This window comes from Homo sapiens, chromosome 10 (assembly GCF_000001405.40).
Source record: "Homo sapiens chromosome 10, GRCh38.p14 Primary Assembly".
In the NCBI taxonomy this organism is placed as follows: domain Eukaryota; kingdom Metazoa; phylum Chordata; class Mammalia; order Primates; family Hominidae; genus Homo; species Homo sapiens.
In genome coordinates this window covers 79,235,852-79,263,390 of record NC_000010.11, presented here as the reverse complement: position 1 = coordinate 79,263,390, position 27,539 = coordinate 79,235,852, and the positions used below count along the sequence as shown (strand labels likewise).

General features: G+C 55.8%; 1 protein-coding gene across 12 annotated transcripts in view, besides 35 other annotated features; it reads right to left on the bottom strand.

The window, feature by feature from the left end:
• ZMIZ1 (zinc finger MIZ-type containing 1) overlaps positions 1-27,539 on the bottom strand; it is a 247,554-nt gene that overhangs the window by 53,129 nt on the left and 166,886 nt on the right. The window contains exon 1 of one of the 12 annotated variants that reach the window (XM_011539979.2): positions 20,422-20,478. The exons of the other annotated variants lie outside the window; for them this stretch is intronic. The gene's annotated coding sequence lies outside the window, so the exon portion shown is untranslated. Of the gene's footprint in view, positions 1-20,421; positions 20,479-27,539 lie in introns of those variants that run through there. 12 annotated transcript variants of the gene reach the window in all.
• Positions 1,745-2,039: an enhancer, noted in NCBI's record as "tiled region #1120; HepG2 Activating non-DNase unmatched - State 14:Gen5'". NCBI's record gives its function as "activates a minimal TATA promoter and a strong SV40 promoter by Sharpr-MPRA in HepG2 cells {active_cell/tissue: HepG2}" and the evidence as "EXISTENCE:reporter gene assay evidence [ECO:0000049][PMID:27701403]".
• Positions 5,402-6,397: an enhancer, noted in NCBI's record as "H3K4me1 hESC enhancer chr10:81016751-81017746 (GRCh37/hg19 assembly coordinates)". NCBI's record gives its function as "activates a minimal SCP1, AML or CMV promoter by ChIP-STARR-seq in naive H9 embryonic stem cells {active_cell/tissue: H9 hESC(naive)}" and the evidence as "EXISTENCE:reporter gene assay evidence [ECO:0000049][PMID:30033119]".
• Positions 6,398-7,393: an enhancer, noted in NCBI's record as "H3K4me1 hESC enhancer chr10:81015755-81016750 (GRCh37/hg19 assembly coordinates)". NCBI's record gives its function as "activates a minimal SCP1, AML or CMV promoter by ChIP-STARR-seq in naive H9 embryonic stem cells {active_cell/tissue: H9 hESC(naive)}" and the evidence as "EXISTENCE:reporter gene assay evidence [ECO:0000049][PMID:30033119]".
• Positions 12,720-12,799: an enhancer, noted in NCBI's record as "active region_3637". NCBI's record gives its function as "activates an Ori minimal core promoter by ATAC-STARR-seq in GM12878 lymphoblastoid cells {active_cell/tissue: GM12878}" and the evidence as "EXISTENCE:reporter gene assay evidence [ECO:0000049][PMID:35858748]".
• Positions 13,509-14,422: an enhancer, noted in NCBI's record as "H3K4me1 hESC enhancer chr10:81008726-81009639 (GRCh37/hg19 assembly coordinates)". NCBI's record gives its function as "activates a minimal SCP1, AML or CMV promoter by ChIP-STARR-seq in naive H9 embryonic stem cells {active_cell/tissue: H9 hESC(naive)}" and the evidence as "EXISTENCE:reporter gene assay evidence [ECO:0000049][PMID:30033119]".
• Positions 14,210-14,259: an enhancer, noted in NCBI's record as "active region_3636". NCBI's record gives its function as "activates an Ori minimal core promoter by ATAC-STARR-seq in GM12878 lymphoblastoid cells {active_cell/tissue: GM12878}" and the evidence as "EXISTENCE:reporter gene assay evidence [ECO:0000049][PMID:35858748]".
• Positions 14,423-15,337: an enhancer, noted in NCBI's record as "H3K4me1 hESC enhancer chr10:81007811-81008725 (GRCh37/hg19 assembly coordinates)". NCBI's record gives its function as "activates a minimal SCP1, AML or CMV promoter by ChIP-STARR-seq in naive H9 embryonic stem cells {active_cell/tissue: H9 hESC(naive)}" and the evidence as "EXISTENCE:reporter gene assay evidence [ECO:0000049][PMID:30033119]".
• Positions 14,544-15,044: a transcriptional cis regulatory region, noted in NCBI's record as "chr10:81008104-81008604 region (GRCh37/hg19 assembly coordinates) targeted for CRISPR interference". NCBI's record gives its function as "positively regulates PPIF gene expression in LPS-stimulated THP-1 monocytic cells {active_cell/tissue: THP-1(+LPS for 4hr)}" and the evidence as "EXISTENCE:mutant phenotype evidence [ECO:0000015][PMID:33828297]".
• Positions 16,030-16,099: a silencer, noted in NCBI's record as "silent region_2537". NCBI's record gives its function as "represses an Ori minimal core promoter by ATAC-STARR-seq in GM12878 lymphoblastoid cells {active_cell/tissue: GM12878}" and the evidence as "EXISTENCE:reporter gene assay evidence [ECO:0000049][PMID:35858748]".
• Positions 16,835-16,914: an enhancer, noted in NCBI's record as "active region_3635". NCBI's record gives its function as "activates an Ori minimal core promoter by ATAC-STARR-seq in GM12878 lymphoblastoid cells {active_cell/tissue: GM12878}" and the evidence as "EXISTENCE:reporter gene assay evidence [ECO:0000049][PMID:35858748]".
• Positions 16,945-16,994: an enhancer, noted in NCBI's record as "active region_3634". NCBI's record gives its function as "activates an Ori minimal core promoter by ATAC-STARR-seq in GM12878 lymphoblastoid cells {active_cell/tissue: GM12878}" and the evidence as "EXISTENCE:reporter gene assay evidence [ECO:0000049][PMID:35858748]".
• Positions 17,005-17,174: an enhancer, noted in NCBI's record as "active region_3633". NCBI's record gives its function as "activates an Ori minimal core promoter by ATAC-STARR-seq in GM12878 lymphoblastoid cells {active_cell/tissue: GM12878}" and the evidence as "EXISTENCE:reporter gene assay evidence [ECO:0000049][PMID:35858748]".
• Positions 17,395-17,474: an enhancer, noted in NCBI's record as "active region_3632". NCBI's record gives its function as "activates an Ori minimal core promoter by ATAC-STARR-seq in GM12878 lymphoblastoid cells {active_cell/tissue: GM12878}" and the evidence as "EXISTENCE:reporter gene assay evidence [ECO:0000049][PMID:35858748]".
• Positions 18,005-18,134: an enhancer, noted in NCBI's record as "active region_3631". NCBI's record gives its function as "activates an Ori minimal core promoter by ATAC-STARR-seq in GM12878 lymphoblastoid cells {active_cell/tissue: GM12878}" and the evidence as "EXISTENCE:reporter gene assay evidence [ECO:0000049][PMID:35858748]".
• Positions 18,005-18,867: a biological region, named in NCBI's record as "CRISPRi-FlowFISH-validated PPIF regulatory element GRCh37_chr10:81004281-81005113". NCBI's record gives its function as "regulatory_interactions: PPIF".
• Positions 18,035-18,867: a transcriptional cis regulatory region, noted in NCBI's record as "chr10:81004281-81005113 region (GRCh37/hg19 assembly coordinates) targeted for CRISPR interference". NCBI's record gives its function as "negatively regulates PPIF gene expression in GM12878 lymphoblastoid cells {active_cell/tissue: GM12878}" and the evidence as "EXISTENCE:mutant phenotype evidence [ECO:0000015][PMID:33828297]".
• Positions 18,161-18,661: a transcriptional cis regulatory region, noted in NCBI's record as "chr10:81004487-81004987 region (GRCh37/hg19 assembly coordinates) targeted for CRISPR interference". NCBI's record gives its function as "negatively regulates PPIF gene expression in BJAB lymphoma cells {active_cell/tissue: BJAB}" and the evidence as "EXISTENCE:mutant phenotype evidence [ECO:0000015][PMID:33828297]".
• Positions 18,305-18,384: an enhancer, noted in NCBI's record as "active region_3630". NCBI's record gives its function as "activates an Ori minimal core promoter by ATAC-STARR-seq in GM12878 lymphoblastoid cells {active_cell/tissue: GM12878}" and the evidence as "EXISTENCE:reporter gene assay evidence [ECO:0000049][PMID:35858748]".
• Positions 19,259-19,759: a transcriptional cis regulatory region, noted in NCBI's record as "chr10:81003389-81003889 region (GRCh37/hg19 assembly coordinates) targeted for CRISPR interference". NCBI's record gives its function as "negatively regulates PPIF gene expression in anti-CD3- and PMA-stimulated Jurkat T cells {active_cell/tissue: Jurkat(+anti-CD3 and PMA for 4hr)}" and the evidence as "EXISTENCE:mutant phenotype evidence [ECO:0000015][PMID:33828297]".
• Positions 19,259-19,844: a biological region, named in NCBI's record as "CRISPRi-FlowFISH-validated PPIF regulatory elements GRCh37_chr10:81003385-81003885 and GRCh37_chr10:81003389-81003889". NCBI's record gives its function as "regulatory_interactions: PPIF".
• Positions 19,263-19,763: a transcriptional cis regulatory region, noted in NCBI's record as "chr10:81003385-81003885 region (GRCh37/hg19 assembly coordinates) targeted for CRISPR interference". NCBI's record gives its function as "negatively regulates PPIF gene expression in BJAB lymphoma cells {active_cell/tissue: BJAB}" and the evidence as "EXISTENCE:mutant phenotype evidence [ECO:0000015][PMID:33828297]".
• Positions 19,515-19,844: a silencer, noted in NCBI's record as "silent region_2536". NCBI's record gives its function as "represses an Ori minimal core promoter by ATAC-STARR-seq in GM12878 lymphoblastoid cells {active_cell/tissue: GM12878}" and the evidence as "EXISTENCE:reporter gene assay evidence [ECO:0000049][PMID:35858748]".
• Positions 20,159-20,659: a transcriptional cis regulatory region, noted in NCBI's record as "chr10:81002489-81002989 region (GRCh37/hg19 assembly coordinates) targeted for CRISPR interference". NCBI's record gives its function as "negatively regulates PPIF gene expression in BJAB lymphoma cells {active_cell/tissue: BJAB}" and the evidence as "EXISTENCE:mutant phenotype evidence [ECO:0000015][PMID:33828297]".
• Positions 20,159-21,547: a biological region, named in NCBI's record as "H3K27ac-H3K4me1 hESC enhancer GRCh37_chr10:81001601-81002552". NCBI's record gives its function as "regulatory_interactions: PPIF".
• Positions 20,168-20,668: a transcriptional cis regulatory region, noted in NCBI's record as "chr10:81002480-81002980 region (GRCh37/hg19 assembly coordinates) targeted for CRISPR interference". NCBI's record gives its function as "negatively regulates PPIF gene expression in anti-CD3- and PMA-stimulated Jurkat T cells {active_cell/tissue: Jurkat(+anti-CD3 and PMA for 4hr)}" and the evidence as "EXISTENCE:mutant phenotype evidence [ECO:0000015][PMID:33828297]".
• Positions 20,225-20,725: a transcriptional cis regulatory region, noted in NCBI's record as "chr10:81002423-81002923 region (GRCh37/hg19 assembly coordinates) targeted for CRISPR interference". NCBI's record gives its function as "negatively regulates PPIF gene expression in GM12878 lymphoblastoid cells {active_cell/tissue: GM12878}" and the evidence as "EXISTENCE:mutant phenotype evidence [ECO:0000015][PMID:33828297]".
• Positions 20,235-20,524: a silencer, noted in NCBI's record as "silent region_2535". NCBI's record gives its function as "represses an Ori minimal core promoter by ATAC-STARR-seq in GM12878 lymphoblastoid cells {active_cell/tissue: GM12878}" and the evidence as "EXISTENCE:reporter gene assay evidence [ECO:0000049][PMID:35858748]".
• Positions 20,596-21,547: an enhancer, noted in NCBI's record as "H3K27ac-H3K4me1 hESC enhancer chr10:81001601-81002552 (GRCh37/hg19 assembly coordinates)". NCBI's record gives its function as "activates a minimal SCP1, AML or CMV promoter by ChIP-STARR-seq in naive H9 embryonic stem cells {active_cell/tissue: H9 hESC(naive)}" and the evidence as "EXISTENCE:reporter gene assay evidence [ECO:0000049][PMID:30033119]".
• Positions 20,795-20,904: a silencer, noted in NCBI's record as "silent region_2534". NCBI's record gives its function as "represses an Ori minimal core promoter by ATAC-STARR-seq in GM12878 lymphoblastoid cells {active_cell/tissue: GM12878}" and the evidence as "EXISTENCE:reporter gene assay evidence [ECO:0000049][PMID:35858748]".
• Positions 20,804-21,304: a transcriptional cis regulatory region, noted in NCBI's record as "chr10:81001844-81002344 region (GRCh37/hg19 assembly coordinates) targeted for CRISPR interference". NCBI's record gives its function as "negatively regulates PPIF gene expression in LPS-stimulated THP-1 monocytic cells {active_cell/tissue: THP-1(+LPS for 4hr)}" and the evidence as "EXISTENCE:mutant phenotype evidence [ECO:0000015][PMID:33828297]".
• Positions 20,955-21,094: a silencer, noted in NCBI's record as "silent region_2533". NCBI's record gives its function as "represses an Ori minimal core promoter by ATAC-STARR-seq in GM12878 lymphoblastoid cells {active_cell/tissue: GM12878}" and the evidence as "EXISTENCE:reporter gene assay evidence [ECO:0000049][PMID:35858748]".
• Positions 22,588-23,215: an enhancer, noted in NCBI's record as "NANOG-H3K27ac-H3K4me1 hESC enhancer chr10:80999933-81000560 (GRCh37/hg19 assembly coordinates)". NCBI's record gives its function as "activates a minimal SCP1, AML or CMV promoter by ChIP-STARR-seq in naive H9 embryonic stem cells {active_cell/tissue: H9 hESC(naive)}" and the evidence as "EXISTENCE:reporter gene assay evidence [ECO:0000049][PMID:30033119]".
• Positions 23,216-23,844: an enhancer, noted in NCBI's record as "NANOG-H3K27ac-H3K4me1 hESC enhancer chr10:80999304-80999932 (GRCh37/hg19 assembly coordinates)". NCBI's record gives its function as "activates a minimal SCP1, AML or CMV promoter by ChIP-STARR-seq in naive H9 embryonic stem cells {active_cell/tissue: H9 hESC(naive)}" and the evidence as "EXISTENCE:reporter gene assay evidence [ECO:0000049][PMID:30033119]".
• Positions 25,731-26,359: an enhancer, noted in NCBI's record as "H3K27ac-H3K4me1 hESC enhancer chr10:80996789-80997417 (GRCh37/hg19 assembly coordinates)". NCBI's record gives its function as "activates a minimal SCP1, AML or CMV promoter by ChIP-STARR-seq in naive H9 embryonic stem cells {active_cell/tissue: H9 hESC(naive)}" and the evidence as "EXISTENCE:reporter gene assay evidence [ECO:0000049][PMID:30033119]".
• Positions 26,360-26,988: an enhancer, noted in NCBI's record as "H3K27ac-H3K4me1 hESC enhancer chr10:80996160-80996788 (GRCh37/hg19 assembly coordinates)". NCBI's record gives its function as "activates a minimal SCP1, AML or CMV promoter by ChIP-STARR-seq in naive and primed H9 embryonic stem cells {active_cell/tissue: H9 hESC(naive and primed)}" and the evidence as "EXISTENCE:reporter gene assay evidence [ECO:0000049][PMID:30033119]".

The window sequence follows — 27,539 nt, the reverse complement described above, 5'->3', positions numbered from 1 at the left end:
TTGCACCCCCGACTCCACCCCACCCTTCCCTGCTTACAGTGCCTGACTGACTTGGTTAATTGCCAAGACTCTCAGGTTCCTGATGCAAGAAACTCAGAAGGCTATTCGTTCCTCTAACTCTGAGCTAGTGCACCTGAGGTCTAAACCCTGCAAAGACCGAAGCCACGAGGTCAGGCTCCACGCCAGCTGTGACCACTCTGGAAACACGTGTTGTAAGCTCAGGAGCGCATGGCACCATCTCTGTCACTGCGCCACTGCGCTGGCGCATGCAGTGGTACTTACGCGCTCCCTTCTGACCCTGTGCTATGGGAGATGACAACCTTCAGATGGGTTCTCGACCCAAAACCTGTTGTAGGGTTTTCCCTCTTATCCATTCATCCAGCAGAAGCAGCTGACGGCTGGCACATTTCATGTTTCTACGTCTTGACTTCCTAATCGGTCGTTCCATTCCTTTTCCGAGAAACCCAGAGTATGGAGGCTTGACAGCCCTGGAAATCACATATGCCTGGCTGTTATTAAACCTCTCCAAGTCCCCAGCAGATTGCCCAGTGGATGCCCACTGGCTGCCCAAACACCAGACTGGTCTCCATTCATTGCTCTGGGCCCTCCTTCCCAGCTGCAGGGGTCCCTGTGCATTCTGGAGAATACATGTCACTCTTTTAGCATGCTAGCTACCGGTTTTAGTCGTGCACAAGCACACGCCGTTCAAGACAACCTGAGATAGGGACTGAATTTATAGAACACTGAGGGGAGGGAGGAAATGAGAGAATTTCTCTTTTTGTAGAAGATTCTTTACCTGATGAAATGGTTCTCTGTGAGGTTTCTTTAAATATCCAGTTGCCTTGTTGCAATGAAAATCAAAATGGTTTATAAGAATGCCATTTACATCTGGTGCTTCCTGGCTGCACCTGTTACTCAGTGTAACACACTTGGGGTGATGTCTGGATGGTGCGGTCCCAGAGCAGGGCTGAATGATTCACTGCAGCCTGGATCTCCAGGCCAGGGATTCTCAATCTTGCCCATGCATTAGAATAATCTGGAAGGCTTGTTAAAACACATGCATGTTGGGCTCCACCCCCAGTGGGGTTTCTGATTCAGTGGGTCTGGGGTGGAGCCAACGAATACATTTCTAGCCAGGTCTCAGGTGCTGCTGATGCTGCTGACCTGGGGACCCCACTTTGAGAACCACTGCTCGAGACCAAGGGATGAGCTCAGTGCCTGCAAGATGCAGGTGCTCTGTTACTCCATGAACAAGATGAGGGGGGAAACATTCTTTTCTCTCCCCTTCTGGGTTCAGGACATAAGCAAGTTCTTAGGGCCAGCAGAAGCATGTGCTTGGCAAACGTTCGCTGATACTGCTGTGGACCTCCCCTGACCTTTGCATTCAAAGCTCTGGAGATTTGACCCTGAGCTCTCTCTCCCTGGCCTATGAGACAGGAGAAAGGACTCTTACAAGGGTGTCAGGCACATGGAGCCCTGGCTTTATCTACTAGTTATGAACTATGTGATCTTGGCAGGCGTGTGCACCTTGGTTTCTTTGCCTGCATGCAAACCTATCTCACCTCGGTGCTCTAAAGGTGTAACAAGGTAACCTTGACAGTGGCTATGGATGGAGAACTTGATTCAGACCAGGCACTGTTCTGAGCACTTTGCATGTGTGGTCTAATTAAAGCTTCTACTCTGAGAGGGCATTGTTGTCCCCTGCCCGGCATCTCTCAGCAACACCACTTGCTGGTGTCCCTCAGCCCTCTGCCTTGGAGCCTGCTTCACAGAGTGGCTGTAAGAACTGAACTAGGTCCTGCAGGCTCCGCCTCACTGCCGGCTCTAGGAAGCAGCCCCAGGTAGGCGAGGGACAGACAGCAGCCTGGGCCATCTGCAGTTCAGGCCAGGCTCCCTGTTTCTCTTCCAGAGCAGCTGGGGGAGGGAGCCGTCATTTGTTTAGGCCTCTGCAGTGTTTAATCAGCACGCAGCTCTCTCCCTCCTCCCCCTCCAGCGCCTGCTCTCTCCCTGCAGAAAACAGCTCTCTGCCTTCTGCCTCTGATGGAGGCCATGAAAAATTAACACGGAATGTAGGGAGAGGGAAGGGAACACCGGGTAGGGAGGGGCATTGGAGCTGGGTGACCAGCTGGCCTGAGCTGAGCGCGCACCAGTTGGGCAAGCACGAACTGGATGGGCCTCTGAGGGGCCGGCCGGGTCAAAAACCCGACCACCCGGCGGGGCCACAGGGTCTTTCATGACGCTCAGCCTGGGGGTCTGGAGCACATCCAACTACCCTTGGGGGAGCCGGAGTGCAGAGTCTGGGCCTTTCTGGGGTCTCGAACCCCTGGAGAATCTGAAGACAGGGATACAGTCTCTCTCTGCCCTGAAGAGAGCCAGGTCATGCAGGGACGTGTCCTCGGGAAGGTCAGCTGCAGGCTAGGCAGAAATGAGACACGCCTCCTTTCTCTGTTCATTTTCCTGACAATCCTGTGGAGACAACTACCCTGATTTGATAGGAGGAAACTAGTGTTCAGAGAGGTTAAGAAAACCTGCCCAAGGACAACCAGCGAAAACAGCAGAGTGGGATCTATTTAGTTTTAATTAATACAATTACTTTTCATTTACATAAGTACTACACAAATCCATTCTCCTTATAAAGCTAATGTTTCCCCAGCCTCCAAACCCAGTTTCCCCATCACATCCGATGATTCCACCTCACCGTTCCATTTCTTCACTTTGAAATGCTATTTTGAAGAAGTAATTAGAAATATACAGAAGCCGAATAAAAGGCGTGCATTGAAAAACAGTCTCCTTGACGCCTCCCTGTTGCCATTCCTTCCAAAGGGGAACCACTGCTGGTGGCTTTGGGTTTTTCCTTCCAGGGTTATTCTATCCTTGGCACCTACCAGAGACTTTGCCACCTCTGCCTGGAAGGTTCTCGTCCTGGACAGCCACGTGATTCACTCACCCCCTCATCCTCATGCAGCCAGAGTTTCCCTGACCTGACCGTTTATGAATTGTCGTACCTCCCCACCACCGACTCCCTCTATTTTCCTCCCCTGCCTCATTGTTCTTCAGAGCACCTATCACCACCTGCTTTTAAAGTCCTGATTCCCCTCCCTCCATGCTGGAACAAAAGCTCTACCAGGGCTAGGGTTCCCATGTGCTACATTCGCCAGCACATCCCCAGTGCCTAGAACAATACCTGGCACACAGGTGACAATTAACACTGATGGAAGGCAGGGCACTGCAGGTACACAAAGCCTGGCAGAGTATGCATGCTGTTTTGAACTCAAACTCACTGTCACGCCTGTGCCTCTTTCATCTTTTGTCTCTTGCTAGGACACAGCCTAGTCTGGGGCACACAGCAGACGCTCAGAGCTCAGAATGACCAGACCGGAAACGTGACCCTTACCTCACACCACAGACCAACAAAAAGTCGAGGGGAGTGGAGAGAGGGGGAGCAAAACAACATACTGTCTAGAAGGTGACAGAGGAAAGGCTGGGCGCGGTGGCTTACACCTGTAATCCCAGCACTTTTGGAGGCCAAGGCAGGCAGATCACTTGAGGTCAGGACTTTGAGACCAGCTTGGCCAACATGGTGAAACCCTGTCTCTACTAAAAATACAAAATTAGCAGGGCGTGGTGTGAGCCTGTAATCCCAGCTACTGGGGAGGCTGAGGCAGGAGAATCACTTGAACCTGGGAGGCAGAAGTTGCAGTGAGCTGAGATTGCACCACTGCACTCCAGCCTGGGCAACTGAGTGAGACACCACCTCAAAAAAAAAAAAAAAAGAAGGTGATAGAGAATATCTTCATGATCTGGGGTTTGGGGAAATTCTCAAGAAACACAAGCACTAAGCATTAGGGAAACTTGATAAATTTTCCTATGGAAGAATGTCCTGCATCCCAAAATACCCCATTAATGGAGTGAGAAGCACAGGGTGAGGGTGAGTCTGCATGGAACAGAAGAAGCCACACGGTGCACGATGAAGCCCTGTTGAAGGGTTCTGGGGAGTTGGGCTCCTCAAGACTGTGCAGCGACCCAGGAAGGCTTCTCAGGAGAGGCAGAAGGTGACTCCCTCCCACTCCTCCCCTAGGTCTGGCCTCCTCTCTCTTCTCCTCCATGAAAAACCAGAGGCTTTAAGACAGACAGGAGAGCTCCAGCCCCCCCTTCCCTGCCCCACGCAGAGATAACCAAGCAAGAAAAAACAAATTAAACAGTCCAGGAGCCGGGCAGGGCCTTGGGAAGTTTGGCTCGACAGGGCAACAACATTTAACAAAGCTCACATCATCCATCACTTGGGCCCAGTCATTTAGATACTGGGCATTTGATTAAACTAATACGGGCGGCTGGGGCGAGGCATGGCTGGGCGCTTCCTCCCCTCGCCTACAAATTAGACCGTCACACACAATCCGATTACCTTGACTGCCACATTTATCTTGGGAGAGGGGCCATCCATCACTCCTCAGCAGCTGGCTCTGCCCTCCCCACATTAGTTCTATCAGGAGGGGAGTGAGTTCGCCCCAAAGTTTCAGCAGACCATGTTCAGTCAGTCATTCCTTCCATCACCCACTCCAGATACTCACCCCAAAGTGCCTGCCCTGGGGCAGGCCTTGGGCTCAGCATCAGGATGCAGAGAAAACAGTCCATGGCCTTCAGACTCATGGAAGGCTCATGAAAGGGGAGCTATCTGGGCTGGGCTTGGAGAGCCTAGAATGTTGGTGCTGAAAGCTATGTTGCACTGATGGGCACAGGTTTATGTCCCACTTTGCCTCATCCAACTGAGACCCTACGCATGACAATCACCAACCATCCTCAACTTCACACCTATGAAATGGGATAACACAGTACACTGCTGGCCAACAGAATTTCTGCAGTATTGGAAATGTTGATTTGTGCTGCCCGAAACAGGAGGCAGGGGCCACATGTGCTACTGCACATGTGTGGCCAGTGCAACTGAGGAGTTGAGTTTAAATTCCATTTAACTATTTTCTTTTCTTCTTCTTCTTCTTTTTTTTTCTTTTAAGACAGGATTTGGCTCTATCCACCCAGGCTGGAGTGCAGTGCTGCAAACATGGTTCACTGCAGCCTCGACCTCCTGGGCTCAAGCTATCCCACTGTCTCAGCTTCCTGAGTAGCTGGGACTACAGGCGTGCATAACCACCCCTGGCTAATTTGTTTTGATTCTTAGTAGAGATGAGTCCTCGCCATGTTGCCCAAGCTGATCTCGAACTCTTGGGCTCAGGCAATCCTCCTGTCTCAGCCTCCCAAAGTGCTGGGATTTCAGGCATGAGCCACCGTGCCCGGCCCATTTAACTTCATTTCATTAAATTTAAGCTCCAATTAGCACATGGGGATACTGGCTCCCACGCTGGGCTCTGCAAATCCAGTTTCTGACTACCTTCTTGGGGTTGCTGTGAAGAGTAAGCAGGCCATCCTTAAAATGCCCAGGACAAAGCCTGGCACATGACAAATGCTCAACAAAAGCGAGGTCCCTTCCCTCTGGGTTCTGAGACCAAGGATGTAGGGCTATTGTCTGAAGAGCCCTGGACTCAACAGCAATCACCTTTGTGGTCTCATAATACAGCTCAGAGTTAAAGACGGTGCAAACCATAAAGTGGCAGGGATAGAACCTGAGTCCAGGTCTCTGTGGCTTGGAACCCCGTCTTTCCACTGGACACCTGGCTCCCCAGGAGATAGACAGCAAGAGCAAAGGCTCCAGGATGGGGCCTGGGGAGGGCAGGTCTGCCTGGCAGGCAAAGACCAGCAGCTTCTTCCCTGAACATCACCATGGTCTGTGAGGCCTGGCTTCTCTTCCAGATCAGTCACCTCCCAATGCTAGCACCTCCCAATGCCAGGCACAGGGTCACCCCAAAGCCTGACCCACCCCAGCTCTGCAGGCCAAGCCCAGGGCAACACCGATGTTCCCCTGACTCAGGGTAGAGCTGGGGCAGCCAACAGAGTTTCTGGTTCCAGATACACCAACTCTAGATGGTGCCCAGTCCTAAAGCTTTTGCAGAGCAACCAGGACAGCACAACTGAGGCCCTCAGTGGCACCAGGTGCAAAAGACCTCAGGGTCATCCGGCTTCTCCTGCCTTCCAGGGTGTATTAGCAGAGGCTCAGAGGCTGGCAGACAGGGGGCAGACCAGCTGCTGTCACCAGGAATCTGAGGGCTCTGGGGTCCCCACAGTGGTCCTCAGTCCCCTCACTAGGGACCCACCCATCCTCTTACAGGGCTGCAATGGGATGAGCGGAGTTGACATGTGAATAAACAGGTGAGGACGGAGCATGTGCTCACTCGGGCTTGCTTAATTATTGGTGTTGTCTGAGGTCTCAAGGCAGGTCAGCGACAAGGTGAGACCCCAGTCTGTCTCATGTGGGTCTGGGGAGGCTGTAGACAGCATCTAGGAAGAAGCACTCACATAGAAGCCTGAAGACGTCACTTTTCACTGATGGGCTGTGTCACCTGGAGCAAGCCATGTCACCCCTCAGGTCTCCCCACCTCTTTTTTATTTTCTTAATGGAAAAACTAGAGCAAAATCACAAGCATGCACAAACCTTTCTGTGAGGATCAGATGGGGCATGCCAAAGCACTTATGACCTGGATATGGATGCCTGTGAGGGGATCTGACTGTGTCAGTGGGTGGGCAGGCTTTCCTGGTAACTTCAGAGCAGCCTGACCCTGGAGAGAAATCACCTCCCAGAGCAAGACATGCCCCCTGTGGAAACAGCTGGAGCTTAAGAGTCCAGTCTTCAGACACTCAGAGGGGTCCTGCTGGCAGGGCATTTCTTGTGAAACCACAGGCTGGAAAGGAGCAGACCCACCTGTGATCCCCTCAGCATGTGCTGCAGGGGCACCGGCAGGCTCCCTCCCTGGAGTGGCCGCCCTAGCCCACCTGGCTTGGACTGTGGCCTCCAGCTGGTCTGGAAGGCTGGGAAGGATGCAGGGCACACACTGCAGCTGCAGGAGGGAGGGGGCTGCTCTGGATGGGATGTGGGAGATGCTGGCCAGAGTCCACCGAGGGCTGGGAGATAGTGGGGAAGGCTACTGTGGGGTGGGTGCCAGGCCAGGAGCATAGAGGGATGGGGTGACATGGAAGAGCCACAGGTGAGATGGGAATGGAGAAAGGGGGATATTGGGGAGCTGAGGAGGCCCCCCAGAATTCCCTCCATCAGATTCACCCCTCTGCCGGCCAAGTTCGAAGGCACACTTAGCCACTCACACATTAGTATAAATGAGTTTATGACAAGCTGTGCCAAGACGGGCAGGGAGCAGTAATTGAAGGGAAAATCATGGGGAGGAAGGTGGCAGGCAGCTCTCCCCAGCAAGAGCCTCCTCAATGCCAAGGAAGGGGCCCTGGGGGGCTCCCAGTGGGGACCCTCTGCCACCAGGACACCCGCATTCCCCCCATCCCTTTCCAAAATACCAAAATGCCAACACTCCTTTGTTGCCACTTAAACCAATTTGGGGGTAATTCTGCAGGCAATTGTCTTCCGATTTACAATGCGGCTCTGTGATTGCATCCAGACTGATGGTTCAGGCTGTAATTGTATGGTAATCACTTCTGTTTATGATCGATGCGGAAATCACTATTGTTTTCCAGCAGGCTTGTTAAATCGAAAAAGTGCAGGGGTGGGGAGGGACGGTTTATTTCTGTGAGTTGGAGCCCCGGGAAAATGAAATTAAGTAGAACAACTCAATGTGGGGGGTGGCGGGGAGAGGTGGCTCTGATGGCAAAGGCACCCTCATGAGCTCAGAATGCAGAGACAGAGATAGGCAGGAACACAGAGACCCTGAGAGACATGGAAGGTACACTTGGAGAGCACAGAGAAATAAGAGGGGAGCGGGCAGGGACGCTGGTGAATGCCCGGGCTCAAGACAGAGATGGTTAGGAACGCAGATATACACAGAGGTGCCCAGACGGACTCCACTCCTCACACCTGCAGAGAAACTAAGCCACAGATATGCTAGGGGAACCCCCTTACCTACTCATACCCATGCTTCAGCAGACTTGCTCACATCCATTCCCGAAGAAGGGTGGGGGCAACCCAGGTGCCAGGTGGCAGGCCAGGCACTGCCTGCCCCTCAGGGCTAGAGCCCGGCCTTCCCCATCTGGGATTTGCCTGCCTTCTTCTCTCCCCTGCCCTGAGGCCACCTACCTGCCGCCTGGAAACAGGGTGGCAGATGGCACCTGGGGACTCAGGTGGCAGGAGCAGGGCAGTGTCGTGAGCTCAGTGGCTGCTGTGGGGAATGAGGGGAGCTGCCCACCTGGCAGGCAGAAACCCGAACCTCCTCAAGGCCAGAGGGAATCGGCTTGGGCTGGGTGGAGGGCAACGTCTCCCAGGGCGGCCACAGGCATCCATGGCACCAGAGGACCCAGCCAGCCCGGGCTGGAGGCCCACAGCCCTGCGGGGTGCGAGTAGGCACCAGCTGTCGTGGGCAGCTCAGGGAGACCTTGAGGCTGCAAGAGGTTTGTTTCTTCAACCACACGCCCTTCTTCCCCAGCAAGAGTGGATGGGGGCCATCGGGCAATGTGCTGAAAATCACGACTGCGGTGAAAGGTATCAGGTGTTTGGTTTTGAAAGCCAACAAGGCCGAGGTCCCTCACTCAGTCGGCTCTCCCTGCATTGCCTGGCACCCTCACCCACCAACGCCCCCGCCCACCTGTCTAAACTGCCCTTCAAATTTCTCAGTTTTGCCTCACCCCAGGAAGGCCATCCCCCACCCAAATGGGACCCATGGCATGGAATATCACGCTGACTGCAAGGCAGGACTTGGTCACCCAGACCTGCCTGAGGGGTGGCCCTGGCTCTAATTCCTGTGGTACTTTTGTGAGCTTTAGTTTGCTTAGCAGTGAATAGAGACCAGCGGGCCAGGCCCCATCGTGGGTGGATCCCCAGTTAGAGCAAGAGCAGCACTCGGCAGCCTCCCCATGGGACCCTGCCTGGGCCAAGGGCCGTCCAGCCCGGCTTATGGGGCTTCCCTAAACCCAGGGCACCCTGACTCTGCTTCTGTGCCCTGCACTGATGTCCCCAAAGGCAGCCAGGGCCCTGGGATGGCGGGCAATGACCTCAGTCCACTCCCTGAACAGAGAGGACCATCCCCAGTACCCTGCAGGTCCACTTGGGGTTCTGGCCCTGAACTTCCCTAAGACTGGCCCTCAAACAGGCCACCCTGAGATGTGCTGGGCCCTGAACAGGGGCGCCCCTGGCTGCCTAATTAGGGGCTCAGCAGGGCTTGCTAGGAAGCGGCTGGAAAACCTCAGAAGTGGAACAATCACTCCTAATTGGAGTTCTAGGATTCAGCTTAAGAAAACAGCCTCCTTCTCTCCCAGGGACTTTGTTTCTGAAGTATATACAAACAAGTGATAGCTACTCAACATTAAAAACAAAGTTGGCTGAAAATAAAAATTTAAGCTACAATTAAGTTTTCTGAACGGAGAGGAAAACCCCAAGGGTGGGGTGCCTATGAGTGAGTGTGTGCATGAGTGTGTGTGTGAGTGTGCGTGTCAGCATGTGTGTGTGTGTGTGCATGTACCTGTGTGTGGGGCCATGTGTGCAGGCCCATGCATCCACACAGGGCATGATGGACACTGAGCAGATGGATATCTTTGGGGTCACAGTCATCCTTCCTTTGCTCAGGGGCCTCTCACAAAGTCCTGGATCTAAGTGAGCCTCCTGCGTCTGGATCCCAAATTCCCCAGGGCGCTGCCAGGCAAGTGGATACAGGACCTTGCCAGTGCCCTGGTGGACACTGAAGCCTCGGACTTGGAAGGTAGAAGGCCAGAGTTCAGGCCGCACCTCTACCCACCAGTCCCCCACACTCCCTGACCCTCAGTTCCCACCCCTTGCTGGGTGAGGAGAAGCCACTGCATACGTGGAAGGCTTTTCTGGACTCTGAAGCACTCTAGAAACGCCCAAGACAATCCAAGACGGCACGGCAGGGAGGGACAGTGCAGGTACCCGTAAGCCCCAAGGGGATTGGAATGTGTCAACACATTTACACACCCAGTTCCCCATGTGCCCCTCCTATGTCACAGACACACTCCCAACACCCAGTGTGTTTGTAAGCCTGCACAAACTCACAAGTACACTACCCTATATCCAACAGCCATTCAACTTGCAAACGACCCCCACACGTCCTAGTGGACACATGCATGTTCAACTGCATGTTTATCTGATATATGCACAAAGATGCAAAACCCAGGCAACATTTGCAAATGTTCTGTCTTATATTTCTCTTCATCAACACATAATCTCTGCAACAGGCTCAGCCCTACTTCTCACCCAGATGCATGTCCGGCCCCGCACACCCACTGCCTTCCAGCCCTGTCATCTTAATTCTGGGACTTTTAAGCTCCCAGAGGGGAGGGGATGTGTCTTTTTTCACCTTCCCCACAGTGCCTGGACCAGAGAGAACCCAGCTCTTCTTTTGTTCATTCACTCATTCCAAAATATATTACATGTATATGTTGCCTATCTGGATGCTCACCATACAAACTTGAGCGAGCTATAGTCATAGTTATGAACTTGAAGAAATGCCACATTCCTGCACATACCAAGGGCTGCACTAAGTGCTGTACTGACGGTGCAGTGTGCCTAGTAAGGGTCACAGGTGCATCTGTTAGTAAGGGCACGGGCAGGGGGGCGTGCATCCAGGGTCCCCAGCAGATGCCTGCACACACTCACACACTCAGTGGGCAGCCTACATGGTGACTCCTGTAGCTATAACAGACCTGTGGGTGAGGGTGTCCCCGTTTTGCAGAAGTGGTAACTGAGTATGCTGCTGGGTGGCAGAAGGACATCTCAAGCACAAGATCACTTGGGTAGGGTGAAAGCAAGGCTTCAGGTAGCAGGTGCCCAAGACTGGGGAGGTGTCCAGGGAAGTGAGTCTCGGCCAGGTCATTTCAGAGGCTGGTTTCTATTTAGGTAAGAGCCCAGGGGGTACCATGGTGAGGGTGTGGTGGACTACACACTCCTGGGAGAGAGGAGGGGATGACCAGGAAAGCCACACCTGGGAAGAAACCCCAGGGGAGAAATCTTCATCCCAAAGGCTGTCACCTGAGGAGAAAGATCTTATCCAGGTCACTAAATGTATTTATCTGAGAAGGTACACCGCCATGTAAAGCTCTGAGAGGATTATGGGCCCCTGGTAGGCCTGATGCTGGGAAGGCTTAATTCTAGGCAGGGTGGGTACATAGGCTGGGTGGGTACAGGAGCCTGCAGGAGCCTGCCTCCTGAGGCCCACCTGCTGTCTACGGGTGCCCTTGGGCAGCAGCAGTCGAAGGAAAAGCAGGGTTCAGGGAGGGTGGAAGACCTTCCTCCATTTCAAGGGCCAAAGTTGGCCTGGACAGAAGAAGCCAGAGCCTGAGCTTACAGTGGAAGCCAAGTGCTCGGCCCTTACTCCCTCCCCTGTCCTGATGCTGCTCCTGGGAGACCCATTGCCCGAGTGGCCTCCTAGAAGCCACTAAGGACCCAACGGTCAAGGCTGCCATGGTTCTAGTAAGGTGGGGATAGGGCGTTTCTCTGTTTTGGGTGCTGCTGCCCTGACCCCCTGGGACAATGGCTTCTGTCCGTTTTCCAGGGCATCCCGGGACTGCCCAGTAACTTTCTGAGCCTGTTGCTGGCAAATCAAATGAAGACATACCTGAGAGTTACACAAGCTGTCCCCACTCCCTGCAGGGAAGACACAAGCCTTTGCTCAGCAAACACTGAGTGAGCCCTGAGCTTCTGGCCAAGAGCCCTGGGGCCCTGGCTGGAGGCAGGGGGACTATTTGCTCCAAGATGTCTCAGGCTCTTGGAGAAGATGGGCATTCTGCATGTTCTACCAGTTCGGGGCTCATGCTGGAGAAAAGGTACCCCCAACAGATGTATGGGGTGAGGGGTTGGGGGAGTGTCTGGATAGGCTGGGCTGCAATGGACAATAAAGAGGCCCCAAAGCTGGGGAGCAGGAGGACAAGTGACCCAGAGGAACACGCCTCCCACAAACATGAGGAGAACCACGTAGAGCAGGAAGGGTAGCTCATGTTTGCTCAGGGGCGATGAGATCCCAGCACTGTGCTCAAGGTGCTGGCTGGAATGAGCTCTTTAATCCTCCCACAGCCCTAGGGGATGAGTACTAGTCTCCGGTTCTACAGATGAGGAAACTGAGGCTTAGACAGGGTGAGAGGTCCCGGTGTGTGGAGAAGACAGGAGAGGAGGGGGACAGACGTAGGGAGCAAGCTTGGGAGGGCACCTTTGTGGGGTGAGGGCCTCTCGCTCCTAACAGTGGGGAGCCACAGGAGGGCCATCCCATCCCCACCTGGAAACCCCCAATTCAGTGCAGTGCCCAGTCTTCACCTCCTCGATCTCTACAATGGCCACAAGTCCCCAGCAAGCCCCTCCCCTTTTGGCCCCCCAGCTTCCTGTGCCTTCTCCCTGCGCGTGGTCTGTTCCCCAGGATGGTCTTCCGGCCTTGCGCCTGAAGGCTGTTCTGTCTCCCAGTACCCATCCCGACACCAAGGACACCGTGGGTGCCAGGACCTAGGGTTTGACAAGAAGCCGTGTGTTGGCTCCTGGGACCCTTCCCCAGCTCCCAGAATTTCCTCTCAGCGAGGGGTTCTCCAGGCACCCTTTGGGCACCTGAAAGCCAAGGCTGGACTCACAGTCCTTATTCTGCAAGCCCACTCTCACTAGGATGGCTGGACCCCAAGGGCCACCTCAACATGGCTCGACTCACAGACCCTCTGCCCAGAAATGCAGGGGCTCACAGACCCTGACAAACTATGGGTAGACCTCAAGGAAGAAGTCCTTGTGCAAATCACTGGCGGGCTTCAGAAGTCCAGGGTGCAGACTCTCACCTCTCATTCCCCAAGAGGGAAATGAAAGTGGGCACGTGGGTGCCGGCCACGCTTACTTCCTCCAGAGCTGACACATGCTAGGACCTCCCTGATGGCTGCCGGAGGGACAGCCAGGCAGCTTCTCTCTGGGACAGACAAGTGGCAAGCACACTTGTGCCCCTCTGTCCCCTGACCTTCTCAGGCTCTCCTGTTACAGTGGCCATGCTGGAAGGAGGGATAAGCCCCCAGATGGCACCACCCTCCACAGGGCACAGCAAGGTCTCCAGCTGCAACACAGGGCAAGGACAGGCAGGAGTACTGTACAGATGAGAAAACTGAGGCTCAGACAGAAGGGGGCTGGTGGTGGAGCTGGGTGGAGAGAACCCAGTCTCGGGCTCAGGAACTTGAGGGGAACCTAATGCCCAGCCAGTTTTGGAACTAAGCCCATGCTGCGAGGGGATGAATCCACCTGACAGTGATGAAAGCTGCCAGCTACTGAGACGTTACTATGGGCCAGATACCAACCTAAGCGCCTTTTAGCCCCATCTCATTTACTCCCCACTGCAACCCTGCCAGGCAGGGACAAGTAGCTCTACTGCACTGATCAGGAAACAGAGGCTCAGAGAACCTTGGTGACTTACTCAAAGTCACCTGGTAAATGACAGATGTGGGTTTCATAATTACTGTCTGACACTGGCTTGGGAAGGACACCGGGTGGCCCCATTTTAAGAGCCCCGGGTAGTTGGGCAGGGAGGTCCCTCGTGCATTGGGGGGAAAGGGAGAGGAGCAGTCACCAGAGCTGCCAACAGGGTAGGCCCGCGGGCCACAGAGTGACCACTTCAGGCACAGCACTGCCAACAGATCTTTCTACCATGATGGGAACATTCCACCACTGCACTGTCCAATCTGGTAGCCACTAGCCCGTGAAATGTGACTACTGTGACTGAGGAACTGAAAACTTCATTTAATTTTACTAATGTACATTTAAATACATGTGTGGCTGCTATACTGGACAGCACAGTAAATCCCACGCTGCTCCTTACAAGCAGGGACCTCAAGAAAGGCAGGCACCCCTCACATCACACAGACAAGCTGGGGAGCCAGAGCTGGGCCAAGACCTCGAGCCTTTCAATTCCTGCCTGGGTGACCAGGGCCGCCATGTCCTCATGCTCCGGGCTGGCCATCTGACAGACATTTACGCAGCACCCAGCGTGGATGCAAGTCACGAACCGCCTGTCCTTCAAGTCAGTGTAGTGGGCTGACACCCAGGTGGGCAAGGGATGACAGGAAGCTACTGATGTACAGCGCTGGATCCTGGATGTGCACAGGAGCTAAGGACCGCAAGGAGACAGTGGCCCCGGACGCTGGGTGTGGGGATCCAGGGAAAGCTTCCTGGGCCATGCCATGGCATTAGAGCTGGGCCTGGAAGCAGCAGAAGTGAGAGGCAGGAAAAAGGGCTCCTTGGGCTTCCTTTTTCCTTCCTCTCTGAAACATGCCCCCCATTTTTTCACAGTCCTGGCCTCCCACACACAGGGGTTGAACCAGACCTTGCTAAATCTTCTGCGCACAGTGAAGCTGCCCATCAGATCATAAGCTCTTGGGAGGCAGACAGGGAGCTGGTAAATCACTAGTGCCTCAGGCTCTGACCCAGGGAGCAGGGATTCAACACTGGAGCCCTGGGAGGGTGGGAGACCAACTCTGCAAGCCCAGAGACTACCCGCTGGCACCCATCCACTCCAGTCCCAGCCCCAGGGAAATGCACACATTGATTTAAAGCCTCCTGGGCCTGGCTAGAATCCCCCGAGGGACTAGGGAGAGACTCCACAAACAGGACTGCCTCTCTTTTCCAGGAGAGCAGAGGACTGTTGTGGGGAGGTCTGGACAAGCTCCATCCAGTTCCCGGAGCTCCTCAGAAGGCAGAGCTGGCTGCCCTCGCCCCCCACCATGGGCAACCACAAAACAGGAACCCTGAAACAAGACGAGGCTTTCCATTGCGTCAGCAGGGGCAGGGACATTCCCACAGCAGGACGCCGACCTCGCACTACTCCCAACTTCTATGCCCGATTCCTGCCTGCTACTCAGCAGCAGCCCTGCTCCTAGAAGCAGGAGGAGTCCCAGTGCCTCTGAGGCTCCAAAGCCTTTGATGGCTCCCCACTGCCCTGAAGGTGTTGCAGCAGCCTCACTCAACCTCTCCTCGAGCTCCTGCTAACCTCCCCCCTGCCATCTGGAGGGACATCCTCCTTTCTCATCAAGCGCCATACCTCTCCTGGTTTCCAAGCCTTCGCAGCTACTAGTCCTCCCACCCAACAGTCCTTTCTCATCCTGCCCATTTCCAAAATCAAGTTTCACCTGGGAAGTGTTTCAGGCCGCTCCAGCCTGAAAGTCACCATTTTCCCCTCTTCCTTCTATAGCTCTTGGGGTGTAGAGCATAGGCCTCTGTTCATCTAATTCTCTCTTGCCGTGCTGCACCCTAATATTTCCCACTGCACACCCAGATGCGGGTGGTGGCACCCAAAGACATGGCCCAAGCTTCTTTCTCACTTTCCTCTCTCCCCACCTCTCTGGCACAGGGCTGGTATTGAGGCCCTGGAGTGGAGTCTACCTTTTAGAGATGAGATAAAGATGAGGCAGAGATGAGACACTCAGGCCCCCAGAGGGGAAGTGACTTGCCAAAGGTCACACACTAATTTGGCACCAGACTACAGATACAATCACTTCAGGGCTAGTGTTGGGAGCCATGATTCTACCAATAGCATCAGAATTATCTGGGGAGCTTTACAAGCCAAATCACAGGGGCCGGGCCTCCCCTCAGACCCAACAACTCTCCAGGGTGGTTTGGGAGCCTCAGTCTCAGAAAATGTGAGTGTCCTGGCTAAATCCCCTGTTCTCCATTCACCCAGTACACACAAAGCAGCACCACTGCCCCAGGCCAGGCACTTCTAAGGCCTGGCCTCACCCTACGGGGGGTGGGAGCAGTTGGGGAACCCAGCAGGGTCTCTGCGGCTTAGAGAAGCCCCAGGGTGGCTCTAAGGAGAAGTCAGGGCCATGGCTGGGGCTACTGAGAGGGAGGAAAAGGGTCATACTTCCTGAGCCTGGCCAGGCAGGGGGACAGCAGACTGCCTGCTTGGCCCACCCAGGGGTCCTCACGCCCAGTACTCTGGGTGATGGGGGTAGCTCCCAGCTCTGTGCATCAGTTTGGAAAGGCACACAGCCCATCAGATCCTGGGGAACAAGGACACTGTGAGCTTCCCCGAGGGACTCACTATGGGTCCTGGAAGGGCTCCCCGGAAAGGCCTCATCAGTGCCCCGCCCCTGACCATTTTCTCCCTCTAGAGGACTGGAAACCTGAGAGTGTCGCCAAAGGTCCTCGCATCCCTCAAGCTGCCCTGATGGGCCTTGAAGAACCCTCTTTCTGGTGTGCGGGGGTCCCTGCAGAAAGCCACCGCATTTTCAGACCTCCCACTTCAGTCAGGTCAGGGCCATGGGAGCTGGAGGCGGCAGCAAGGCCTGCTGCTGGGGGAGTGGGCACCTCAGGACACAGGGACAAGGCCACAGGAAGCTAACCCTCACCTCAGGGCTGGAGCAGGAAACCAGGCAGCAGGCACAATGAAATCATAAACCACACGTTCCCACTGGGAGACTGGGATTTGCAGTGGGCTGGGAGAGGGCATTGGCTCCATCCATGGCCTCTCCTGCCATGTGACCTTGGGGCAGGAAGTCCCTTCGGCCCTCCGGCCAGTGGGCTGGCCTTCCTTCCCTGCCTGTGGTGTCTGGCCAGGGAGCTCCCTGGGAAGCTGGAAGTGCTTCGAGGGTGGAGGCCTTGTTTTTCCCTTTGCAGGCTCCCTCGTGAGGCAGCTGCTGCTCTGCCAGGCCCTGGGAGAGTTTCCTCCTGCAGCCGAGGCTTGGGGAAGGAGGGCGAGGGAGGCCCAGCAGATGCTCTGTGACACGGTGTGGCGGGGCAAGAGCAAGGGTGAGGTGCACTCTGTACCAGTCAAAGGTCCCGAAATCCTTCTCCCTGCTGGGTTCGGGCCTGTACCCCTCTCTCTGAGGTGGTGCTAAGGATCCCAGCCACAGGCCCCACTGAGGAGTTCCTTCCCCATGGAGGAGCCAGCCTCTCCCGAGGGACCCATGCCGCATCGCTCAAGGTAAACACCTCCCTTGCCCAGAGAGCCTCGCGCCCGCTCCTTCCAGCTCTGCCAGCACAGAACTCTCTGTTCCTGAGGACCCGAGGCTGAGCTGGCGCTCCCGCCCGATCAATGGATGACTTCACAGGGACTGACGCCTACTGGCACCAAGACTGTCCCTCAGGGAGGTCTGAGGCTGCTCCTGGGACCGCTGCCCACTCGTGCCCCCTGGCTGACCTCTGCTGGATGACAGAGTGCTGGCCAAGGGGTTGGAGACCTGGGACTCATGCCACCCTCTTGCTGGATGACCTTGGGCAAAAGTGAACCTCAGTTTTCTCCTGTGTTAAATGGGAATGCCTGGCTGGTCTACTCCTTCCCCGCAGCAGGCTGCCACAAAACAAATGCTAGAGAAACAGGAGGTCTCTTTATCTAACAGACTCGCCTGCACTGTTACACTTGTGGGCTCTGAGCTAGTGTCCTCACTGCACCTCTGTCTTAAGTCTATCCTCCTGGACAGCGCTGTCTGTCGTCCATGGAGCTTCCTGTTGTGGTGGACATGTTCTAGAGTCTGAGCTGCCCAACAAGGCGGCTACCAGCCTTCGGTGGCTACTGAGTGCTTGAATGTGGTTAGTGCCAAGGATAAGCTTAACTCATCCCTTTAATTAATTGAAATTCACAAACAGCCACATGTGGCCAGTGGCTACTGTACTGAATGGCGTCATCTTAGACCCAGCTCAGTCACTCCTTACTCCCTGGGGCAACATTCAGGAAGCCCCGGGCAGGACTTCCGCAGAACCTCTGTGGAAGCACCTTTCTCCCTCTAGCTGCCTGACTCCAGACTAGGGACTCATCTCAGAGTTCCCAGGGACTGCATGGACTGGGTGCTCAACCAATGCAGACTGAGATCTGGAAGTGCTCTTTCAATCCCTCTGCCCCCCGACCCCGTCCCAACTCCAATGGGGAAAACACACCCAACCAGCCTTCCACTCGTGCCATCATCATTCAGCAGCCACTGGGCACCCACCATCCGCCAGGCACCACAGTTGGCACTGGGGCATACGGTGATGAGAAACACGTGGTCCCTGCCTTCAGGGAGCCCACTGGCATCAAGGTCTTGCTCCTGTTGGAGCCAGGCCTGGCCTCCTACATCCCCAACTGGATGATCTCGGGCACATCAGTTTTCCCATCTGAAACTGGGGCTCAAAAGTCCCTGAGCGCACAGGCTGTGATGAGAATCAAGAGGCATGAGAGAGGCACAGGGGCTCTGAGCCAGGGGAGGGCTGTGCAGGGCAGTGGAGGCAGCCTTATGTAGCGAGGTGTAAACTCTGTGCAGGCTGCGCTTCCGGTAAAGACCTAGATTCTCACCAAAGCATCGCCGTTTGGTGGTTTCTCACTAAGGAAGTTCAGGATAAAAATAGCTCAGAAGGGGACTTGAATCCAGCTAGTTGGAGGGTAGTCACTGCCTGGCTTATACACAAAAAAAGGGGAAAGGCTTGTTAGGAGCCACGTGGACTCCAAGAGTCACCCTTCCACGCAACCCCTGGGACAGGGCCTTTCCTCCATAGCAGATGGGAGATAAGCTTCAGGCCCAGAGCCCCATAACTGGGGGAGCCGGAGCCCCCACGTAACATCTGGGGTCACCCTGACTTCAGGATGGCACGGCCTTTTCACCCCAACTCACTCCTCAGCCAGATTTCTGACTCTCAGCCTGATTTCTCTCCTCAGCCCAATTTCTGTGGCCACTCTCAAAGATGGGCCAATGAGAAGCACACTGGCACCAACTCCATGCCACCTGCCACACAAAGCCTTCCTGCTGGAAGAGCCATCAGCCCTGCTCAACACTCATCTGGCAGTCTCGCCTGATGGTCAAGGGCGAAGGGACTGGGTCCCCACTGCAGGAATGACAGTCTCCTGAAACCCGTCTAAAGAAGTGCCAGCTGACCTCTCCTAGTTTCCCCCCAGAGGGCTTCTCGACCCAGGAACTGGTACCTATCTGGTGCCCACCGCACCATGGCTTGGCTTCGAAGACACCAATACCAAAACCACATGCTCAGGACCCCAGGCAGCCTCCTCTTAGTCCCTATCAAGGGGCTCTTTCTCCAAGGTCTTGTACAAGGTCCTCACAACCAGGCATCTCCTGAAAGGCTGCTTCCTGCCCTCTGGTGCAAATCCACCTCTCTCCTCTAGCCAGCTTGCCAGCAAACACTTGTCAGAAGTCTATTCGGCACCCACCACCTTTGCGAAGGGCACCCTGCCGCAATGGTGGCATCACCAGTGCCCGTGGGGTCTCTACGCGCTGGAGGCATCAGGGCTGCATTCTGACAAAGGAGCAGCTTGAAGTCGAGGACCCTCAGGCGCTGCCTCCGAAGGCATCCTGGCCGATTCTTATTTTTGCAGCGTGAGCCGACTGAGCACAGAGCCTCGTAAAATGTCTGCTGGAGAGCCAACACTTCACCTTCAGGGACCTGGGTGGGGGCGCACTCTGCCCCGTGGCCCCAAAGAGAAATGAAGGCCCCGTCTGTGGGCACACAAAACCGGCCCGGTGCACGCCGGTGCCACTCTCGCGGCCAAGCCTGGGGCTGACACCATGCAGCACACGGCGCTACCCACAATGCACCGGCCCTCCTCTGTCACACACAGGCACGCACACTCACCCCCGCGCCCGGAGGGAGCCCAGGGCCCGGCCCGTGGGCGCCCAGGCGCCGACCCCTCCGACCCCGCACTTACCTAGAAGTTGCACCGGTCGCGATCCCGCCCTGGCGCCCTCGGGGGCTTGGGGCCCGGCCGGCGGCGGCCGCGGCGAGCGACTCCGGGTAGGATTCAGCCAGCGCCGAACAAAGGCTGCGCGCAGGCAGCGGGCGCCGCCTGCATCCCCGCTCCGCGCCCCGGCGGCGGCGGCGGCGCGGGGGCCCGGGCGGGTCCGGCGCCCGCTCGCTCCGCGCTGCCCGCTCCGAGGGCGCTCCGGCTCCCGCGCTCCCGCTCGCTGCTGCCCGCCACCGCCGCCGCCGTCCGGCTACCGCACCGCACACATCAATTATTCATCGCCCGTCTCCAGCTTCCCGGGCGAAGCCAATCATAGGCGGAGGCTCCGCTAATGGGGCCGCCGCCGCCGCCGCCGAGGAGGCAGCCAGCCGCGCGCCCGGGCGCAAGCGACAGCTCTCCAGGGACGGGGATGGGCCGGGGGCGCGCGGGGGGCGGGGGCGCACGGGGCGCGCCGGAGAAACTTCCCACGGCCCGCGCTCTGCGCCGCGCTCGCGGACCCTGCGGGCGTGACCACCCACCCTGCGTGTGCCCGCGTGGGGCTGGGGGCTCCGGGGGAGGCCAGGCCAGCCGCGGCGGGGGGAGGGGAGGGAGGAGGAGGAGGAGCGCGGGAGGAAGATGAAAGGCGAGCAGACCTGCCTTGGCGTCTCCAGGGAGCCCCGGCTCGCGCGCGCCCTCCCCGCCCCGCGAGCCTCGCCGTCCGCACCCCGCCCCCCAGCCCGCCGCCCGCACTCACTCGCGCGCGCAGACCGTCAGCCCAGCCACTTCGCTGCGAGGGAGCGCGAGCGAGTATGAATCGGAGGCAGCTCACATTTCAAACTTGCACGCAGGGGTGGTGCTGGTGCACGCCGCTGCCGAGCGAACGCACGACCCGACGAGCAGCACTCCAGCCTCCGGGCGGGGGCGGCGACGAGGCCCCTTTCCTTCCCCCGCCCAGGCAATTAATTGGAAGCAACACTTGTGCGAGTGGGGCTCCCGGAGCGCTGTCGCCCGAGGAGGCCGCCGGGAAGGCGCTGGCGGTGGATGACTTCGGGTGTCTCCCGCCCCCCAGCGAATCCTCCCAAGTGGGCATGCTAATGAGGGTCCACGGCGGGGAGGGGGTGGAGGAGGGAGCTGAACTGGAGGGGGCCTCGGCCGGGGGGAGGGGAGGGGAGGGGAGGGGAGGGCGGGGCTAGGCATCCAGATTAAATCTCGGTTTAAAGGATTTTCGGAACGGGCTACGGGGTGGAGAAGGTAGGCGGCCCGGCATCTTACTTCCCTGACCCTGGGTGCCCTGGCACCCCCGGGATTCCCCGAGCGAGGGGCCCAGGACAGGGTGAACACGCGCACGTACGCTCCCGCTCCCCGACTTCGGGGAGTTCCTGTGACCAGGAGCTGGCGGCAGGAGGGAAGCCGGGGGCGGCTGCGCGCGGCCCTGCCCCGCCCCGGGAGCTGCTGCCTTCCTGACATTGCATCCTGTGGTGGCCGAGGCCTCTTCCTTCCAGCCAGTCTGTCGCAAGGGCTCCGGGCTTTCAGCGCTTGCTCACCCCCCACCTCTCTGCCCCTTAGACACCCCTGGAAGCCCACCTGCTGTCCCACCTCCAGAGATCTTCGCCCCTTCCTCTTTCGTGGGCACTCCCTGTCATCATTACCCCCTCGGGAGAAACTGTATTTTATAGCTCCCTCCCCCAGCCCCACCCACCTGCCTGTGAAAGTTGCTTGTGTGGTGACCTAACTGCCCCAAACACTTAGGAAGGTAAGTGAGTCCCCATCATTCATCCCCAAAGAAGGGCAGCCATGACTGTCTTTAAAATCTCCTCTGTATTGGACTGCCGTGCCCTGCTGCCCTGGCCAACACCGGGAGCTGACCAGGTTCACTGGCCTTTGAGGTGACATCTCCTGACTCCATCCCCTCTTCTCAGCCTCAGCCTCTGGCTGGCCCCTAAACCTTCCTGCCGGCCCTGGAAGTTGCTGGGACAAATCACTTATCTAGAAATAATGTTCTTGCTCCTTGTTTGACATAAATCGTTAGCAGGCTCTAATCCCACCCACTGCCACTTGAAATATCGCTTTCAGGATGGCATTTGAAAATGCAGTTGTCATGGGCTTTCCCTCCGAGAAGCTGGTTAAATGGATTAATTCGTACTTCATAACTTGAGCCTTTTGGACACGAACTAGCTTCCTGCAAGAGAAATTAATTGGCATCCCCTTACTGGCAGGCCAACCCCAGGGCAGCCAGGGGAAGGACTTCCCTTCAGCTTTGCACAAATTCCAGGCTCTGCTTATCCTCACCTCCATCTCATCTCCTTGTAGGTTATTATGGCTTCTTTGGGGACAGTCATTTACTCACTGAGACATTCACTGGGGCCCTGCCCTCCCAAGCAGCACCGCAGGCAGGGGTCCAGTGAAGACTCGCCCATCTCCCCACTGCAGATCCTCCAGATGACTGACCTACTCTAAAGCCCACTGCTCAGCAAATGACACCCAGAAAACAGATGTGGTGGGACAATATGGCTCACGTGTTCCAAGAGAACACTGAGATGGATGTACCTAAGATCTGGTTTCTACTGTTAATCTGGTTTTTAACAATGTCAACACTTGGACCTCCATTATCCAGAATCCAAAGAGCCACTATCTGAAATAACCAGAACACAAACCCTTCCCCATTCTGTGCAATGGCAGTTCACTATTCTAATCTGATCCTTAGTGCTTTCTGAGCCACCAAAGACCCGCATGTTTGGGACTTCCAAATTCATTTTTGAGATATCCTATATGTGTTGGTACCATGTGGCCAGCCCCAGGAGCTGAGTTCAGCAAAACCACTTTGGTAGGTTGAGCCAGAATTTGGACTGGAATTGAGCAGAGGTTTATACCAGAGGGGGACAGACCTGGTGGCATTGCCCAGGAAACTTCAATAAAGACAACCTGCCAGTCTCCCTACCCCATCTCCCTGTTCTCCCAGGTACCCACTCTGGTAAGTCATAGGGTGGGGCTGGAGAAGAGAATTAATATACGCTCCTCCGGCTTGAGACCAGAGATTTTAGACTTTCCCCAGGTAAGCAAAAAAAAAAAAAAAAAAAAAAAAAAAGATAAATACTCTTCACTAGATTTACGTAATTAGGAAAACAAATTGTTTTCAAGCATCCATTCACCAGACTGCACGGGAGGCCTTCAGGCCAAAGCTGGGGTTTTCAGATGCTAATTTCAAGGCTCTCTCTGGCCCACTTGGTTAGCAAACTCTTTCTAGTTACACGCCTCCGGTCTACAGAAATACGGGCACTCCAACCAGTCTCTGCTTCAGAGGGCCTTCTCCACTTGTTCCGAGTTCCAACTCCACTTCTCCAACTTCCAAAGATTTGCTCAAAAGCCTGGGGCCCAAAGCAGCCCGCTCCACCCCCTTGATAAGGATCTACAGCAAAGAGGCCGCAGACAAAGGCGCTCTCCACCTCAGCTCACAGGCACTTGGTGAGCTCTCTGAGTGACCTCGGCAAGGGGGGCATAGCCCCAGGGGAATGACTTGGGAGAGAGAAGAAAGGAAGAAGAAAGGGCGAGCTGCAGCCCCCGCGCTGCGGCTCCTTGATGAATGCCCGCCAGCGCTTGGGAGGCCTGACGCGAGGATCAATAGCGGGTGGCTTTTCTCGCGGGTGTTTGAACTCCTCCTGCCGTGGGCCCTGGCGAGGAGGAGCCGCCGATAAATCACGGCGCTGCAGCCGGGAAGGCAGTGGTGGCTTGCTCGGGAGAGCAAGGGGAGGGAGGATGCTTTACCCAGCTGGAGGAGCCTGCCATGCGGAGCCTGCCTCTGCAAGACCAACTGGGTGGGGTTGGGGTGGGGGCGGGTGGGGACCCTTCCAGTCAAGCTGGGGGCGCAGACAGGGGCCTTCTCCAGGGCTCCCCTGTTTACCCACAGAGGGATGGGCTTCCTGGATCCTGTCCCAGCATTACCCAGTAAAAAGAATCAAGCCACCTAGGATGTAGGTCACCCAGGGGTCAAAGTGGTTCTGGGCTGGGTCACCTCCTGTATAAGGCTTTGCATAGTGGGAGGCCTGGGGGCTGAGAGGCCACTAGCAAGGAAAGACAAGCATACAAAAGCCAGGCTCCCTCTGACCGCTTAGAGGGAGAACAATGAAGCCAGGGACGGCTCTGCTGGGTGCTGGGTTCTGAGACACAGAGCTCTTCTTCAGGCAGGGTCTGCTGATTCAGCAGGGCTGAGCAAGGATCCTATGACTCGGAGATGTCACCCATGCGGGCGTAGGCGCTCAGAGGGAGGGTGAGGTGGACAAGGAGGCCCCAGCCACGTGTCCACGTGAGAGTGACAGGCATGAGCTCAGGCCCTGGGAGCTGCCTGGGCCATCCACCTTCACATCCCTGGTCCTTCTCAGGACACGTGGGAGTGTAGAGCATAGAGTGGGCATTCAACAAATGGATGCACACATACCGGGGACCTGGCATGGAGCAGCTATCACACAGCCAGCTCAGTTGCCCAAGGAAGGCTCAAACAGCAGCCCTGGGGCATGAGACAACTCAGGGGCTCTGCCTCCAGAGACCCCTTCCTGGGGCTTCTGCCAACCTCTGAGGGGTCAGGGCATAAACTCTCATGTGTCTTTATGACACTGTTCTCTCTGTCCCCACTCCCTTTCCCCCCTCATCCTGGTCAACCTCCTCAGGTCTTCACTTAGTCTTTAAGATGAAAGGGACAGTTGCGGTTGAGCTCCTGGCCAATGCAGGCATCCCCACCAGACCTCAGAACCCCTCCTGTGTCCACACACGGGGTCACAGAGCTAGGGGCCCAAGCAGGATCCTGGCCTCTGCTCTCCTGGTGTAATAAGCAGCTCATGGTTACTGAGAGCTTGCTGGTTGGCAGGCACACTTCCAGGCATTTTCCAAGTATTAACAATCCTCACCACCAGACCTTTCTGACAGGAGCTATTTCCACTGTACAGAAACTAAAACAGAGGCGCAGGGAGGTTTAGACAATTTGCCCAAGGGTTTAAATGACTTGGCAATCCAGTTCAAAAGTATGCATTGATAACCATCACATATTCCCAAGGTGGGAGTCTAGGATCCAGAGAAGGAAGGTGACCTCCAGGTCACACAGTCAATTAGAGCTGTGATGAGAGCTCATGCCCCCAACTCCGTTTTATATTCTTTCCCTCATACCACATTACAAATACTGAAATAGTTCTTGCTTCATTGTGTTTCTTTTTAGAGTTTAGCATCTATGCATTTGTAAGCATTTGTGTGACATTTTGAGTTTGCTGGGGCTCCACCTGAGTGGGGGACAGGGACACGATGCACAGTGAGACCTCCATGCCTCTTAGCCTCCTGCCACTCTACCCCGCTCCCCTTCCTGGGCGTATCCTCCAGCAGGGCCACTCATCCTGGACCCAGGCTGCATTCCCAGAAGTCTGCATTTGGCTTCCACCCAAATCCTATAATCGTTTCATTTTGAAAACAATACCACCCGGTGCCCCACACCTCCACTCAGTACCTCCGAGAAGTTCTACAAGGGCAAGGTTACTGGGGTTCCAGGAAAGCATCCTGCCAGGCTAGAGGAGAAGAGAGGATTCTGAGGGGAGGGGGCACGTGAACCAGACACAAAATGATCATTCAGAGGAGCCTGCTCAGCTACCTGCTCAGCCCCAGGCTACCGAGCGGGGAGGGGGCAAGCGGGGAGCCGGTAGGGCTTGGGGCTGCCCCCAGGGCTAGGGCGGAGACAGGAAGGAACTGGCCATGCTCTCCTGGCTAACTGAGGCGCTGCAGAGGGAAGGGAGGAGCCTGGATTTGGAGGCTGAGGCTCAGGAAACAAGTTCTGACTAGCTGGTGGCCCTGACGAGCTGTTAGGCTTTCAGAGCCTCGACCTCCTCCTTTGTAAAACAAGGGTGAGACCACCTAACACCAGGTCCTAGGAAAGACCAATTGAGAAGCCATGGTGTTAGGGAGTGAACTGTGTCCCCACAAAAAATGTTGAACTCCTAACCCCCAGAACCTGTGAATGTGTCTTTATTTGGAAGGAAGTAGGGCCTTTGCAGATGACCACGTTAAGATGAGGTCATTAGGGTGGGCCCTAATCCATCAGAACTAGTGTCCTTATAAAAAGAAGTTTAGACACAGAGACATGCATGCAGGGACAATGCCACGTGAAGACTGAAGTTATGTTGCCACAAGCCAAGAAACTACCAGAAGCGAGGAGAGAACCTTGGAGAAGATCCTTCCCTAGAGCCTTCTGAGGGACCTTGGCCCTACTGACACCTTCCTCTGGGCTTTTAGGTCTCCAGAACTGTGAGACAGTGAATCGCTATTGTGTAAGCCACCCGCTGTGTGGCACTTTGTTATGGCAGCCTTAGCAAACTAAAATGGAGGATCCGTTAAAACCTAAGTCACAAAACATTCTTCTGCTTAAGACCCTTCCTCATGTTGCTCTGGCCCCGTTGGTGTAAAATGCAAGTCCTTGTGGCTGAGCCCCCCGCGTGACCCAGCCTCCAGTCTCCGTCATCTCTCTGACCTCATTTCCCTCCAGTCCCCCTCGGCTTACTCTGGTCCAGCCTCGATGCCCTTCTAGCTGTGAATGCACCCGATGCACCTCCAGGGTTCTGCCAGGAATGCTCTTCTCCAGGTGGCCCTGGCTCCATCCCCACATCCCCGCATCCTGCAGGCTTTCCCTCGGGGGACCCCTTGACTGGGGAGCCCCCGCCACCACACTGACCACAACTCAGCCCCCTCTGACATGCCTGTGAGTCTCCTGACGTGGCTTTGTCCTTAGCATTGTTGGCTGGTGTATTTCAATTATTTACCTTGTTTAATGCTGTCTCCCTCACTAAAAGGCAAGCTCCATGTCAACTGGGACTTTAGTCTGTTTTGGATGTGTTATATTGACAGTATCTAAAATATGCCAGGCAGATGCTTTATAAATATTAGCTGTATGAATGAAACAAGGACCAGCTGCCTGAATGAATGAGTGAACCAAGAATGATTGAATGCACAGTGAACAATCACAGCCTCTAAGGGTGTGTGGTGGCCCTGCTGCCCTGCCCGGAGCCTAGGTCTCTGACCTGCTTCCTAGAACGTGGGTTGTTTCTCAGGGGCAGGCAGCCTGTTCAGACAGGAAGCTCAGGCTGGTTAACAAAGGGGCTGCTGGAGGTGGTGGGGAGCGCGCCACCCAGGTCTCTAATGAATCTCTTCCCATTGATTTCTGGAGTCGCCTTTGAAGGGAAGAGACGGCAACGGCAGCTCGAATGTCCGTGCCTCAGCAGTCCTGGGGTTTCATTGCTTCTCCCAGGACACAGCTTTGATGGGGGCTTCCGAATGGCCCCAGGGTTGGACTGACATAAGCTCTCTGCAGTTGGAAATGCAGTTTGCCTTCCTGCCGGACTGTCTGCCTGCCTGGCTGTGCGGCACACCTCCCTGTCTGGGCTGGAGCAGCCAAATTCTGTTCCTGATGCTTCCCAGACAAAGGCTCACAAGGCAGCTGAGCACAAAGCTTCCACTTTGCAGCGGAAGAAAGTGAGGCTCACTTTGGGAAAAGATTTGGGGCCACTCACACACTCTGGCCCAGGCTGCAGGACCAGGCAGGGCTACTATACCAGGTGTCCCAGCCACCATCGGACCCATCGTGCCTGGAAACCATGTGTGGCCTATTCCTTCCAGCCCCTTTCTTGACAGAGCCTCTACTTATCCATTTGCAATCAAGCCAGCTCAATCGACATCAGAGTAAAGAGGCCCTTGTTTCCCTCTTCAAATGAGGAAACTGAGGTTCAAAGAGGAGGCAGGGACTGCCTCCAGTCACATGGCATATTAATTGTAGAGCCAGGACTAGAACCCCAGACTCCTGGCTTGTTCCACGGCCCCAAGCTGTCTATCCTGGCACTGTATTCCTGC